This window comes from Homo sapiens, chromosome 14 (genome assembly GCF_000001405.40).
Source record: "Homo sapiens chromosome 14, GRCh38.p14 Primary Assembly".
NCBI classification, from domain to species: domain Eukaryota; kingdom Metazoa; phylum Chordata; class Mammalia; order Primates; family Hominidae; genus Homo; species Homo sapiens.
The window spans coordinates 66,829,496-66,844,729 of NC_000014.9; the positions used below are offsets into that span (position 1 = coordinate 66,829,496).

The 15,234-nt window shown below is 35.3% G+C and overlaps 1 protein-coding gene across 20 annotated transcripts in view; it reads left to right on the plus strand.

Moving 5' to 3' along the window:
* Positions 1-15,234, plus strand: part of GPHN (gephyrin) — a 1,227,209-nt gene that overhangs the window by 321,349 nt on the left and 890,626 nt on the right. For 11 of the 20 annotated variants that reach the window (XM_047430879.1, XM_011536340.4, XM_017020913.3 and 8 more), the window contains exon 5: positions 13,183-13,221. The exons of the other annotated variants lie outside the window; for them this stretch is intronic. In XM_047430879.1, coding sequence (XP_047286835.1) covers positions 13,183-13,221 — 39 coding nt within the window. The remainder of the gene's footprint in view (positions 1-13,182; positions 13,222-15,234) is intronic. 20 annotated transcript variants of the gene reach the window in all.

The window sequence follows — 15,234 nt, forward strand, 5'->3', positions numbered from 1 at the left end:
TATTTTCCCTTTATGTCCCATTATTACTTCAAAGCAATGTATGTCCAAAAAAGGTATTATTACATAAAGGATCTGTGTTTGATAATATAGTAAATTAGAAAATGTTAAACTGTTAAATATTTAAAAGACACAAAATAACTTTCAGTACTTTTAGAGCACTAAGCTGTATTGAATTAAGGGTTGTATGCTAATATATTATTTTGATCATAAGTAAAATAGTTGAGTAAAAGCCTAGCATACCTGTATGTCTCATCCACTTGGTCATTTGTGAAGCTTTTGTTTTTAATCCTCAATATGTGTTCAGTGCCATGCTTGGTACTGAAGTTAAAAAATGAGTGAGACTTTCACAGGGGTAAGCAATGTAGCCCACAAGCCAAATCCAGCCTGTCACCTTTTTTTTGCATGTCCAGGGAGCTAAGAATATATTTTACATTTTTAAATGGCTGAAAAAATCAAAAGGAGAGTAATATTTGTGAGGTGAAAATTATTTGGAATTTGAATTTTAGGGTCTATAAATGAAGTTTTATTGGAACAAAGCTACACTTATTTATGTATTGTCTATGGCTAAAACAGCAGAGTTCAGAAGTTGTAAACAAGACCGCATAGCCTATAAAGCCTGACGTATTTATCATCTGATGCTTTGCAAAAAAAGTTTGTCCACCCATGGCCTTTTGGATGACAACAAGTCATCTTTACTCACATTTTTTTATTTTCTCACTTTTACCTTTGGTTCTTTAGTAATCCGAATAATGTTAGGTTTCCTTCCTTATATTTTTAATTTTAGATGGAGCAAAGAAAAAATGCTTTTTTGCCATATTGAAGTGTATTGCCTCATTGTTTCAATAGACAATATAGCCTAATAAAAATAAAATATCCCTTATTCTAAATAATATATAGAATTCTGCACTTTAAAAATTAATACAATGAATTTGTTGTACATTAAGTAAAATCTCACTGTTAAAAATAATTTTAAACTGAGAAAAAGTAATTTGAAACTGACATTCTTAGGAATGCCTCATAACAAAAGTATGCTGATATAATTGATGATTATACTCAAACAAAAGAAGAAATAGCAAAAATACCAGGAAACTGTAAATTTGACATAAGGAATATTTATTTAAAAGAGTTCTTATAACTGTTTCATTATGGAAGTGAAGAGGCATCAGACAAAATGACCTCTTTCAAGAGGGAAAATACTACAAAATGGTACCAAAGAAACCTGACTTAGGAAAAGACTCTGAATTTTAGAAGGTATATTCTGTTTATAGACTACTTTTAGGTTGCTTTGGGGCAGATTAATATCTAAGCTTTTCTACAAATTTTTTTCACTTAGGTTATTAGATTTTTTTCATGAAAATGTCAGTTTTCTAGTACAAATTAAAGAAAGTTACAAAAATTGTTTTATAATCAATTTGTTGAAATATATGTATTTCATAATTTTAAGTGTGTGTTTACTATAAGACAGGTATTATTTTATGTAGTCATTAGTCATTTTTCTTTCTTATATTGTAATGCTTCAAAAATAAGAACACTGTATAAGCCCTGGGAAGAAGAAAAAATTGACCTAAGTTACTAACAACATGTTAATGATTTTCAGTTTGTTACTCTTGTGAAAGAGAGTGAGAATTTACATTTAATAACTCACCTAAAAGTTAATATTGGCCATTTTCACAATCAGAAAACACTCTCCTACATTTTAACAGAAGCATAGCAAAAAATACCATATTTAATCATTTGTTTTTGATAGAAAATTTGATTTTGTTTTGAGTAAAATAAAATACCTGTTATACATGGTAAGGCTAAAATTAGTCATATTGAACTAGGATTTTGACTATCTTAAAATTGTTCTATGCAAATAGGATAATTTAACAATATTAAATTGCTTACAAAGCAGAATACTAGAAACCCTTATACCTGAAGTATTTAAAACTAAATTTAATAAAATGTTCCATCCCTCTACAGTCAGATTTGATGGTTATATTTGATGGCATTTTAAGGAGCTCATCCTAATTTTATGAAATAGTTCCCATGTCATATCTTTGTCTAAACACGTTGGCATGCAATATGGTATAGTGGAAAAAGCTTACACTATAGAGTCAGATTCCTAAATTTAAATATTAGTGCTACTACTTACTAACTATGAAACTTAAGGCAAGTTGACCTGTTCAAATCTGTTTTCTCATCTGCTAAATTAGCTAATTTTTCTCATCTGCTAAATTAGCTGATGCCTACCTACATCTCAAAATTGTTGATTCTAATAATAAAAATAGTCAATAATAACAACTAACACTTACATATAGCAATTACTGTGTGCAAATAACTCTTTTAAGCATATGTTAACTCATTTATTCTTCAAAACAACCATATGAGGCCAGGTGTGGTGGCTCATGCCTGTAATCCCAGCCCTTTGGGAGGCCGAGGTGGGTGGATCACTTGAGGTCAGGATTTTGAGACCAGCCTGGCCAACATGGTGAAACCCATGTCTACTAAAATACAAAAAAATTAGCCAGGCATGTTGTTGCATGGCTGTGGTCCCAGCTACTCAGGAGGCCGAATCACGAGAATCACTTGAACCCAGGAGGCGGAAGTTGCAGTGAGCAAAGATGGGGCCACTGCATTCCAACCTGGGTGACAGAGTGAGACCCTGTTTTAAAAAATAAATAAATAAGATATGTATAAGGAAGGTACTATTTATTGTTATCTCTGCCTTAAAGATGGAGAAACTGTGACACAGATTGATTCATTGACTTGCCCAAGACTTTTCAAGTAGTAAATGGCAATAAATGCATGTAAAAGGATCTAACATAATGCCTGTAATCTTTGTAGATGCTCAGTATTTGTTCTTTTTCTTCCTCATTTAATTAACAGTACTACCTGTTATCTCTAATTAGATATGGTAGCTCCAAATACTTTTGCTACTAACCATTGTGCTTCTGATAGCTATTGTTAACTACAAACATAATTGGTGGATATGTCTTAAAAATAAGGACTTGTCTTGAAACAGCCAGATATGTGAAAAAATAACTTTTTAGTAATAGCCCACTTTATATCTGGGTTTTATAATTATTTTTGTATTGTCCACTGAAAGCAGAATTTTTTTTTTTGTATCATAGGCACACTTAAGACCTTTCTGTTTGGTAAGAACAGCATTCATTTTCTTTGTTCAATGTAACAAATATTTATGAAGCACCTTGGACTTTATCAAACCTAAAGCTAAAGTACATATACTCCTAAAATAGTCATATGACAATTCAAGACAGTTTAAACCTGGTACCAGAAATATTTAGCCAATTCAGGCAAAAAGATTTATTCAAAGAGAAAGATTAAAAGAGAGCTTGAGTAATGAGTGAAATTTTTATAAAATTCAGGCTAAAATTGAATGGGATTTAGGTTTTGAAAAAGGAAGACCTTAAAGGTAGGAGTAAAGAAGAAGGAAAATATATGAGCAAGGCACAGAGAAATACAAACATAAAATCTTTCTGGCTAAAACAGAGAATTCACTTTACGTAGAAGGATGGATACACTAGACCTACATTATTTTATTTCTTTCAGACTGGCTAGAGAGGTACCAAATACAGAAATGAGAGATTTACTGTATTAGTCTGTTCTCACATCGCTAATAAAGACGTACACAAGTCTGGGTAATTTGTAAAAGAAAGAGGCTTAATTGACTCACAGTTCAGCAGGGTGTGGTAGGCCTTAGGAAACTTACAATCATGGTGGAAGTTGAAGCAAACACATCCTTCTTCACATGGCGGCAGCAAGTAGAAGTACAGAGCAACAGGGGGAAAAGCCCCTTATAAAAACATCAGATCTCAGGAGAACTCACTATCATGAGAACCATGAGAAAAGCATGAGGGTAACTGCCCCATGATTAAATTATTAGTACCTCCCACCAAGTCCCTCCCATTACACATAGAGATTATGGGAATTACAATTCAAGACCAGATTTGGGTGGGACACAGCCAAACCATATCACTGCCGTTATTCAGAGATTCCTTGGAAACGAGAATTCATGAGTCTCCTATCAGCCAGTATAGACAGTAAAATCATGCTTTCAGGACTTTCTTAGACTCTTTTTTGAATCAGCATTTATTCGAATGCACATGAATACATTCCTCAGTAGGACTAACTTTATTCTCTTTGGAGGTTGTTTTTATGCCCTGGTTAAAAAAAAAAAAAAAGTTCTGATGTAATCTGCAAACCTAGTAACTATCCATTTATTTACTTATTAAATTTAAACTGCTGAGAGGCACACAATTCCAATTTTGTTGATTTGTTGTCTGGAAACCTTTTCAGTCAATATTTCCCTTAGAATCAAGAATCAAGACAATCGGAATATGTAATCATAGATTTGTCAGTGCTATATCTTAATTAGCTTAGCATTTGTATAAAATTACAAACTTTATAATAGTGGAGAAATCATAGTATCTCAGAGTTTGAAGAGAACAAAGACCTTCATGTTCAAAGCCCTAGCATGCCCTTTTCATCATTCCAGCCTGAACATTTCAACCATCACTTCTTCTATCGAAGAGTTCATTGTTTAGACAACTCTACTTGTTTGAAAGTCTAAATATATCAAACTGAAATCTGTCACCTTATAATTTCTACCCACTTGTCCTAATTTTGCTCTTGGCTGTGCTCAAAAGAAGGTTAATTCCTCCTCTGCATGACATTTCTGATATTTGAAAAGAAATGTTATGTTTCTCCTTAAGTCCACTTACTTATGGATTATTTTTGCATTTAATTTTTCTACCAGGCACAGACTTACCCAAAACATACATCCTCTATTTTTTATGCATGAAAAAAGAAAAGCTCCATAGTAAAATGGTGCCAGTATAAAAATTACAGGTACAAAATTAGACCATTTAGATAAATAATTAGAGCAATAACTGACTTTGCATTTAAGACTGTTAAGTTTTGAAATATGTCCCATCAATACCTAATTTATTGAGAGTTTTTAATATGAAAGTTGTTGAATTTTCTCAAAGGCCTTTTCTGCATGTATTGAGATAATCATGTGGTTTTTGTCTTTGGCTCTGTTTATATGCTGGATTACATTTATTGATTTGCGTATATTGAACCAGCCTTGCATCCCAGGGATGAAGCCCACTTGATCATGGTGGATAAGCTTTTTGATGTGCTGCTGGATTCGGTTTGCCAGTATTTTATTGAGGATTTTTGCATCAATGTTCATCAAGGGTATTGGTCTAAAATTCTCTTTTATGGTTGTGTCTCTGCCCGGCTTTGGTATCAGAATGATGCTGGCCTCATAAAATGAGTTAGGGAGGATTCCCTCTTTTTCTATTGATTGGAATAGTTTCAGAAGGAATGGTACCAGTTCCTCCTTGTACCTCTGGTAGAATTCGGCTGTGAATCCATCTGGTCCTGGACTCTTTTTGGTTGGTAAGCTATTGATTATTGCCACAATTTCAGATCCTGTTATTGGTCTATTCAGAGATTCAACTTCTTCCTGGTTTAGTCTTGGGAGAGTGTATGTGTCAAGGAATTTATCCATTTCTTCTAGATTTTCTAGTTTATTTGCGTAGAGGTGTTTGTAGTATTCTCTGATGGTAGTTTGTATTTCTGTGGGATCGGTAGTGATATCCCCTTTTTCATTTTTTATTGTGTCTATTTGATTCTTCTCTCTTTTTTTCTTTATTAGTCTTGCTAGCGGTCTATCAATTTTGTTGATCCTTTCAAAAAACCAGCTCCTGGATTCATTAATTTTTTGAAGGGTTTTTTGTGTCTCTATTTCCTTCAGTTCTGCTCTGATTTTAGTTATTTCTTGCCTTCTGCTAGCTTTTGAATGTGTTTGCTCTTGCTTTTCTAGTTCTTTTAATTGTGATGTGAGGGTGTCAATTTTGGATCTTTCCTGCTTTCTCTTGTGGGCATTTAGTGCTATAAATTTCCCTCTACACACTGCTTTGAATATTGATGGGACATATTTCAAAATAATAAGAGCTATCTATGACAAACCCACAGCCAATATCATACTGAATGGGCAAAAACTGGAAGCATTCCCTTTGAAAACTGGCACAAGACAGGGATGCCCTCTCTCACCACTCCTATTCAACATAGTGTTGGAAGTTCTGGCCAGGGCAATTAGGCAGGAGAAGGAAATAAAGGGTATTCAATTAGGAAAAGAGGAAGTCAAATTGTCCGTGTCTGCAGATGACATGATTGTATATCTAGAAAACCCCATTGTCTCAGCCCAAAATCTCCTTAAGCTGATAAGCAACTTCAGCAAAGTCTCAGGATACAAAATCAATGTGCAAAAATCACAAGCATTCCTATACACCAACAACAGACAGAGAGCCAAATCGTGAGTGAACTCCCATTCACAATTGCTTCAAACAGAATAAAATACCTAGGAATCCAACTTACAAGGGATGTGAAGGACCTCTTCAAGGAGAACTACAAACCACTGCTCAAGGAAATAAAAGAGGATACAAACAAATGGAAGAACATTCCATGCTCATGGGTAGGAAGAATCAATATCGTGAAAATGGCCATACTGCCCAAGGTAATTTACAGATTCAATGCCATCCCCATCAAGCTACCAATGCCTTTCTTCACAGAATTGGAAAAAACTACTTTAAAGTTCATATGGAACCAAAAAAGAGCCCGCATCGCCAAGTCAATCCTAAGCCAAAAGAACAAAGCTGGAGGCATCACACTACCTGACTTCAAACTATACTACAAGGCTACAATAACCAAAACAGCGTGGTACTGGTACCAAAACAGAGATATAGATCAATGGAACAGAACAGAGCCCTCAGAAATAACACCGCATATCTACAACTATCTGATCTTTGACAAACCTGAGAAAAACAAGCAATGGGGAAAGGATTCCCTATTTAATAAATGGTGCTGGGAAAACTGGCTAGCCGTATGTAGAAAGCTGAAACTGGATCCCTTCCTTACACCTTATACAAAAATCAATTCAAGATGGATTAAAGACTTAAATGTTAGACCTAAAACCATAAAAACCCTAGAAGAAAACCTAGGCATTACCATTCAGGACATAGGCATGGGCAAGGACTTCATGTCTAAAACACCAAAAGCAATGGCAACAAAAGCCAAAATTGACAAATGGGATCTAATTAAACTAAAGAGCTTCTGCACAGCAAAAGAAACTACCATCAGAGTGAACAGGCAACCTACAAAATGGGAGAAAATTTTCGCAACCTACTCATCTGACAAAGCACTAATATCCAGAATCTACAATGAACTCAAACAAATTTACAAGAAAAAAACAAACAACCCCATCAAAAAGAGGGCGAAGGACATGAACAGACACTTCTCAAAAGAAGACATTTATGCAGCCAGAAAACACATGAAAAAATGCTCACCGTCACTGGCCATCAGAGAAATGCAAATCAAAACCACAATGAGATACCATCTCACACCAGTTAGAATGGCAATCATTAAAAAGTCAGGAAACAACAGGTGCTGGAGAGGATGTGGAGAAATAGGAACACTTTTACACTGTTGGTGGGACTGTAAACTAGTTCAACCATTGTGGAAGTCAGTGTGGCGATTCCTCAGGGATCTAGAACTAGAAATACCATTTGACCCAGCCATCCCATTACTGGGTATATACCCAAAGGATTATAAATCATGCTGCTATAAAGACACATGCACACGTATGTTTATTACGGCATTATTCACAATAGCAAAGACTTGGAACCAACCCAAATGTCCAACAATGATAGACTGGATTAAGAAAATGTGGCATATGTACACCATGGAATACTATGCAGCCATAAAAAATGATGAGTTCATGTCCTTTGTAGGGACATGGATGAAATTGGGAACCATCATTCTCAGTAAACTATCGCAAGAACAAAAAACCAAACACCGCATGTTCTCACTCATAGGTGGGAATTGAACAATGAGATCACATGGACACAGGAAGGGGAACATCACACTCTGGGGACTGTTGTGGGGTGGGGGGAGGGGGGAGGGATAGCATTGGGAGATATACCTAATGCTAGATGACGAGTTAGTGGGTGCAGCACACCAGCATGGCACATGTATACGTATGTAACTAACCTGCACAATGTGCACATGTACCCTAAAACTTAAAGTATAATAAAAATAAATAAATAAATAAAAATAAATAAATAAATAAATAAATAAATAAATAAATAAATAAAAAGACTGTTAAGTTGAAAGGGTCCTATTCCACACAGTAGCACTAAAGAGGGAAGAGTACATTGTTCCTTGAGGTCAGAATTTTTGCAATTTTGAGAATAAGGCAAAAACAAAAATTTCCTATATGAAGAACCCACAAATAAAAATTATATATTCAATTTCCTTTAAATATATATCCTAATTGTATACCTACTCTATGTCAGAATATGTGCTCAGCTTTTATGGGGCCCTATGGATACGAGAGATCATATGTTAAATAAACATACAAGCAAGTGTAGATGCAAGTGATGGTAAGTTCTGTTTCTAATTACAGTTCTAACTAGAAAAATAGTGTTGCCCATATAACCTTTTATGGAGTAGCATAACATACTGCTTAATTCTGCTCTGTAATGGGGCATAAAATTAATAATAATAAAAATAACATAGTGGTTAAGAGCACAGACTATTTGGGTTTGAATCTTAGATCCACCTGTTATTAGTGTGCAACCCCATGCAATTTACTTAACTTTAAAAACCTGTTTTCTTATGTGTAAAATGATAGTAAGAGTACTTGCCTCATAGGGTACTTACGTTATGTAAATAATATAAGCAAGGCACTAAAAACAATATTTCCTTGCTATATAAATCTTTGCTATTGTTATCTACAATATGTTTAGAAAGAGCTTTAGCTTTAAAAATAAGTAGATGATGGTGGAATAAATATTATAAGAATTATTCTCTGAAAGAAAAATCAAACAAGATAGAACTTAAAGTACACAATAGTATAGTTGCAGAAAAGGAAAAAGAAATATCAAAGAAGACATGTTAAATCCTTGTTTTAGCTTGAATTTATCAGTGATGATATCTTGAAATCACCTTTCCAGTTCACCCTTCCAAATCTACTCTTGTAAAATGAAAAGAGGCTAGCATACCAGAATACTTTGGTTTTGCAAAATATGTGCTAAGAAATTAACAACAAAATATAAATAAATATTTTGCAGATATATTAGTAAAATGCTAAAAGTATATTTATCTAGAGACATAGTCTAAGGAATGAAGATTTCAGGATATTCCTTTCTTTACTACTGTCTGGAATCAGGAATATGGATTTCTCTCTCTGTGTATTAGGTATCCATCTATGAAATGGACTTACTGTTGCCTTTCACATAAAATGTAATAAGATGACAACAAATGAGTACTTTATATCTGTCAAGTACTATGAACTTCTCAGAATAATATCACTGAATTAGAAGGGCAGAATATTTGTAACTTTGTTGTTACTGCCTGCCATAAAAGGCATCTGATAGGGATTCAGAAAGTAGATTGAGGCAACAAAGTAAACAATTTGAATAATTCTAATAATTTTACCAGTATTATTTTCTTATATTGAAACTTGGAACTGCTACTAAAATATGAAGGACAAATGTCCACTGGAGGTAGTAACCATTTTAGATATTTATTAATGGCACATAGATGAGAATTAGCAGAAAGGATCCAAGTTCCTTCAAAAGATGCTGAGAAGAAAGAAGCAGTAAACCTCTCTTGTATGTACAGTTTGAAAATGATGGTTGTCAGTTTCACTGAATGAACGAGACCGAAGGCCAAAGGCAACAATGTGGAAGAAGCAGTCCATCATGCTGGAAGGACTAATTGATATACAAAGAAATAAATTATACTTCTCTATGAAGAATGAAGATAACATTATAGCCATGAGTGCCACTGGGATAATTTAAGTGTCTTACCCCTCAGCTTCTTCACTCCTTTCTATAGGTTGTATTGCAGCAAATAACATAATATCCTTACGTGGAATAATCCTCAGGCTAAACCTTTATGGAAAGAAAAGCTAGGTCAGTTTTGATTAGGAGGTGCTTCTGAATGCAGTTTTACAAAATTTTTTAAATACTCTTTTTTTACAAAATGGAGGTATTTGAACCAGAGAGAATATAATTGTTAGTTTTGAATATTGTATAACTATAATGGAGTCTTATTATAATGTGTCAATTGTCTGCTGTGATTCAAGATTACATTGTATAGGCAAACCCATTATAATGAGGTCACTTTAATACCCCCATTGATGAGATTCAAAAGAAATTCATATCATGCTAATTTCTGACTATTGTTAGGGTATGTATTTAGAAGTTTAGTTAATTGTGTGATACTTTGATATAAGTTTCCATTTATGGGCCCTATTTACTTCCTCTTTCATTCTCTCCCATTTTGCCATTTTCAAGACTTACTGGTATTGTACTTTGTCCTTCGAGATGGCGCTGCTCTGTGGGGTAGATAGATGAATGAATATCACCCTCTTTAATAAATAATATTTAGAGGAATGAGAGGTTACTTGTATATAATATTGAAAGCAGGCCAGTTGTGGTAGCTCATGCCTGTAATCCCAGCACTTTGGGAGGTCAAGGTGGGCAGATCACCTGAGGTCAGGAGTTCGAGACCAGCCTGGCCAACACGGTGAAACCCCGTCTCTACTAAAAATAGAAAAAATAGCCAGGCATGATGACATGCCCCTGTAATCCCATCTACTCGGGAGGCTGAGGCAGGAGAATCATTTGTACCCAGTAGGTGGAGGTTGCAATGAGCCAAGATTGCGCCACTGCACTCCAGCCTGGGTAACAGAGCGAGACACTGTCTCAAAAATAAAAAATAAAACTAATAATAATATTGAAAGCAAATCCTAGTATAAGTATACATTCCCCCAAACATTTACCATGGACAATAGTAGCAGCAATATTAACAGTAAATTCTAGTCTATCTTTGCTCAAATTTTAGTTATTGCTCTTTGCCTTCTAAATATAAAATACTATAGGACAGGGGTCAGCAAACCTATTTAAAAGGGCCAGATGGTAAATTTTTTAGATTTTGTAGGCATATGGTCTCTGTCAAAACTACCCAACTCTGCCAGACCGGTAGCACAGAGGCAGCCACAGATGATGTAAATGAATGAGCCTGGCTGTGCTCTAATAAAACTTTATTACGGCCACTGAATTTGGATTTCATATATTTCTACGTGTCATGAAATATTATTCTTCTTTTGATTATCTCTTGAATCATTAAAAAATACAAAGATCACTTATAGAGTGCAGGCCATACAAAAAAAAAAAAAAAAAACAGGAAATGGGCAGGATTTGGCCCTTGGGCTGTAGTTTGCCAACCCCTGTTTTAGAACATTCCTATTCTATAGTACACTGGCGTCTGCTCTGTTAATCTTAAAGCTCATAGTATGTGAGCTTTCAGAAGAATACTCTGAAAAATTGAGATTGAGAGAGGAAGCCCCATAAGAAGTTAATGCTTCATGGACTCAAATATGTACTTAAAGCCTACTAGATAGATATAGATATAGATATAGATATAGATATAGATATAGATATAGATATAGATATAGATATAGGTATAGATATAGATATATACATGCCAGGCACTGTTTAAGATGTTGAGATAGAGCAATGAGTTAAGAAGTCACAAGTCCCTACCTTTATGGAATTTACATTTTAGTGAGAGGATACAAGCTATTAAAAAACAAGTAAACTCTATAGAACTGGAGATGGTAAGCGCTATGTTTAAAAATTAACCAGGGAGGGAGGATAGGTAGCCCAGGTAGGAAAGAGGGTTATAATTTTAAATAGGGTCATCCATTAAGGAAGGCCTCATTGATAAGATGACATTTGAACAAAGACCTAAAGGAGGAGAGAGAGGAAGCCATGGATCATGTGGAACCTGTATGCCACCCTTAGTGTAACAGAGTAGAGGCATGGCATGAACTGACATATTTTAATGGGAAAACAAGTTAGGAGACTATTAAAATAATCCAGGTGGAAAATGACAGTGGCTTAGACCAATGATAGAGGTGGAGGTAGTGAGAAGTAGATTACTGATATATTTTGAAGGGAGAGGTAAACAGATGCAATAAGATAAAGAGAGAAGTCAGGTATAAGACCCAAGATTTGCCTTGGGAATTAGAAGAATGTAGTTTCCATTTACTGAAATGGAGAAGACTATGGGAAAAGTAGGTTTGAGGGGGAAGATCAGGAATTTTACTTTGGTTATGGAAACCTGAACTTCCTTTAGATATCCAAGTGGAGATACTGAATTGCAATTAGATATTAAGTATATGAGGCCGGGCATGGTGACTCACACCTGTAATCCCAGCACTTTGGGAGGTTGAGGTGGGTGGATCACATAAAGTCAGGAGTTCAAGACCAGCCTGGACAACCGGGTGAAACCCTGTCTCTAGTAAAAAAGAAAAGAAAAGAAAAGAAAAAAGCCAGACCTGGTGGTGCACGCCTGTAATCCCAGCTACTCGGGAGGCTGAGGCAGGCGAATTGCTTGAACCCAAGAGGCAAGGTTTGCAGTGAGCTGAGATTGCACCACTGCACTCCAGCCTGGGTGACAGAGTAAGACTCCTTCCCCCCGCCCCCGCCCCAACCCCCCCAGCCCCGCCCAAAAAAAGTAGATATTAGGTATATGTATCTAGACTTCAGTAGGAAAATCTGGGCTAGAAATATTATTTTTGGAGTCATCAACATATAAATGGAATTAAAATCCATCACAATTGATGAGATCACCAAGATATTTACTGGTATTACTATTTGTTGATTGATATTACTGCCCCTGATTCTTTCTCATCCACTTTCAAAGAGGTAGGTAGTTTCTAGTAATCTGTCCCCTCTGCTCATTCACAAAGAGTGGAAGGGATCCCACTGAATTAGAAACCCGACCTACACAGGAAGTACCATTAGTTGACCATCTTCCCATTTTGCCGTGGTGTAAACATATGAGTGAATTTTTCCAAGTACCTCCTTGCTGGAAACTGTTTGCACTGGAGGTAAGTGTGAAAGGGGAGGTTGTGGGGAATGATGGGGTGAGGGCTGCCTAAACTTTTCCCATAACTCAGAAATGGTTTCATTCTGAGGAAGGGAGAAGGTTCAGGCTGGTTCTTATTTCCCTGAACCAGTTTGTACAGCCCTAAATTTGACCTGCTTTCCTCAAACTGGGAGTCAGAAATCCCTTTTCTCTTCTGTTTTTCTGCTGCAGAAATTCCCAACATTCCCATTTTGTGGGCTCCAGAAAGGGGTAAGCGAAGACTTCAATCCCAGCCAATCATTTTCAGATTAATAATTTTTAGTGTTTTGGTTTCTTTTATCATCATAAAAAATGCTTGGATCCATTTTTCACATCTGTTTAATTTCCTTGTGGATTGTTATGTATCTATGTTCTAGGGTCATTCTGTATCCCTGGGCAATAGAGTTCAGATCCATCTGCTATTTCCATTTGTGTGCTGTTCTCTTGTGGATTCTCATTTGCAGTTTATTGATTACTGTATCCTAGATGGAAGACACCCAATTCAGGGGACTGCCTCACTCTCAATCTCATCTTTTCCTGAATGGTGTTTTATTCCTCTGCTGAGAGCTTGCTATTACACTACCCAACTGCTTCTGATGATCTGTCATTGTTTCTCTACTGTTCTGTCTTCCTGCTTGATTGCCTTTGGTTTTTGTCTCTCCTTTTTGCCTCACTTCACTCATCTGCTGAATGATTTGCATTCTTCACTCACTGGTGCTTTGTCCGTCAGCAAATGGCCTGGTACTGCCATATCCATCTGCTATTTTAGCATTTTAGACTGCCCAGCATTATCTATCTGCTCCCCTACAATTCCCCTATACTATGGCCTAACAAGTGCTATGCCATCTGCCTGCCTGATCTTGCCCTGCCCAATCTATGCCTGTAACACTGTAAGTAGGTGAGATTGTTTAGCATTTCTGCTATCATCTACACTTGCCTTGTGCCACTGAGTTAGACTGCTGACTGAGTTAGACTGCTGACTGAGTTTGCTTGACTGTTGCCTCCTCTACCTATTTGCTACCTATGGCTGCCCCATTAATTTATTTGAGATATTGAAATCATCTCCTTTGTACTTGCAACTTGCTGATTGGCCTGTGTTGCCTCCTTTACAGTTTGCTGCATTTAAAAAATCACTGGCATTGCTCCTCTGTTGTCTTGTAACCCTGATCATATTTTATTTCCAATAAAAGTTTTGCCTACATATCGTCCAAACATCTTAGAAATAGGAAAATGCTTTGCTATCTAACAGCCCAGTCCAGTTTGCTCCTAAACTGACTTTTTAAACTACCACCTGTCCTTTCTGCTTTTTTATACAGCTCCATATTCTTCTCTTTATGTAAGAATATATTTTTTTATAAATAATCATCTTTGCTTAAGTTTTCCTTTCACATCATATATTATGTACATTTATTTCTTGTGTATGGGATCTTTTAATAATTTTCCATATACTAAAATTATTTCTTAATTTATTATTCCTAAATTTTCCAGGGTTTTATAAGGATAAGTTACTCCTATTAATTTTATCCTTTTTAATAAGACCAGAAGATTTTTTTGCAACTTTAAAAGCATCATCTCTAAAAATAAATTTAATTATCTTATAATTCTTTGTAGTTTAGATTAAAGTAGCTTTCTGCTCTGCTCTATTTTTTCCTTTGAGAATATCATTTCTCAGCTTCCTCATAGTTTACGTAATACCAGTTCTTTAGAGATCCTTTAGATGTATTTATCTTCCTTCCTTTTAAACTCTTTTCTTGTATGTTGGGTAAACCTTTGAAATTGATATTTTCTCATTATTGTATTTGCAAAGTACTTGGCATCTAAAAATAACTTGCAACATAACATTATCTGCACTGTAAAACTTACAGTCTTATTTGCTTATATTTAAATGAAAGCTCAAATACAAGAACCAAAGAAGAATTTTGGTGAAATTTGCAAGAGTCTAAGGAGGAGATGTAAAGTGGGGTGTGTATGTGTGCATGCATATGTGTATATAGAGATTTGAAGTGTTTTATGTGTGTATCTACAATGTCATTGTGCTCGAAGTGTGGAAAATGCTGAGTATCCATATTAAATTTTATTTTTACAAAAAAATCTAAAGAGGTGATAGATTTAGGGATACGGAAAAAGTATGGATGGGTTTTTATTTTCTTTTAATAATATAGATAAAATTTGTCAGTGTGAAGAAAAAGGATGCTCTAGGGAAGTTAAAATCATTTCAGTAGCTTTTTAAAATTTTGGTAAAAT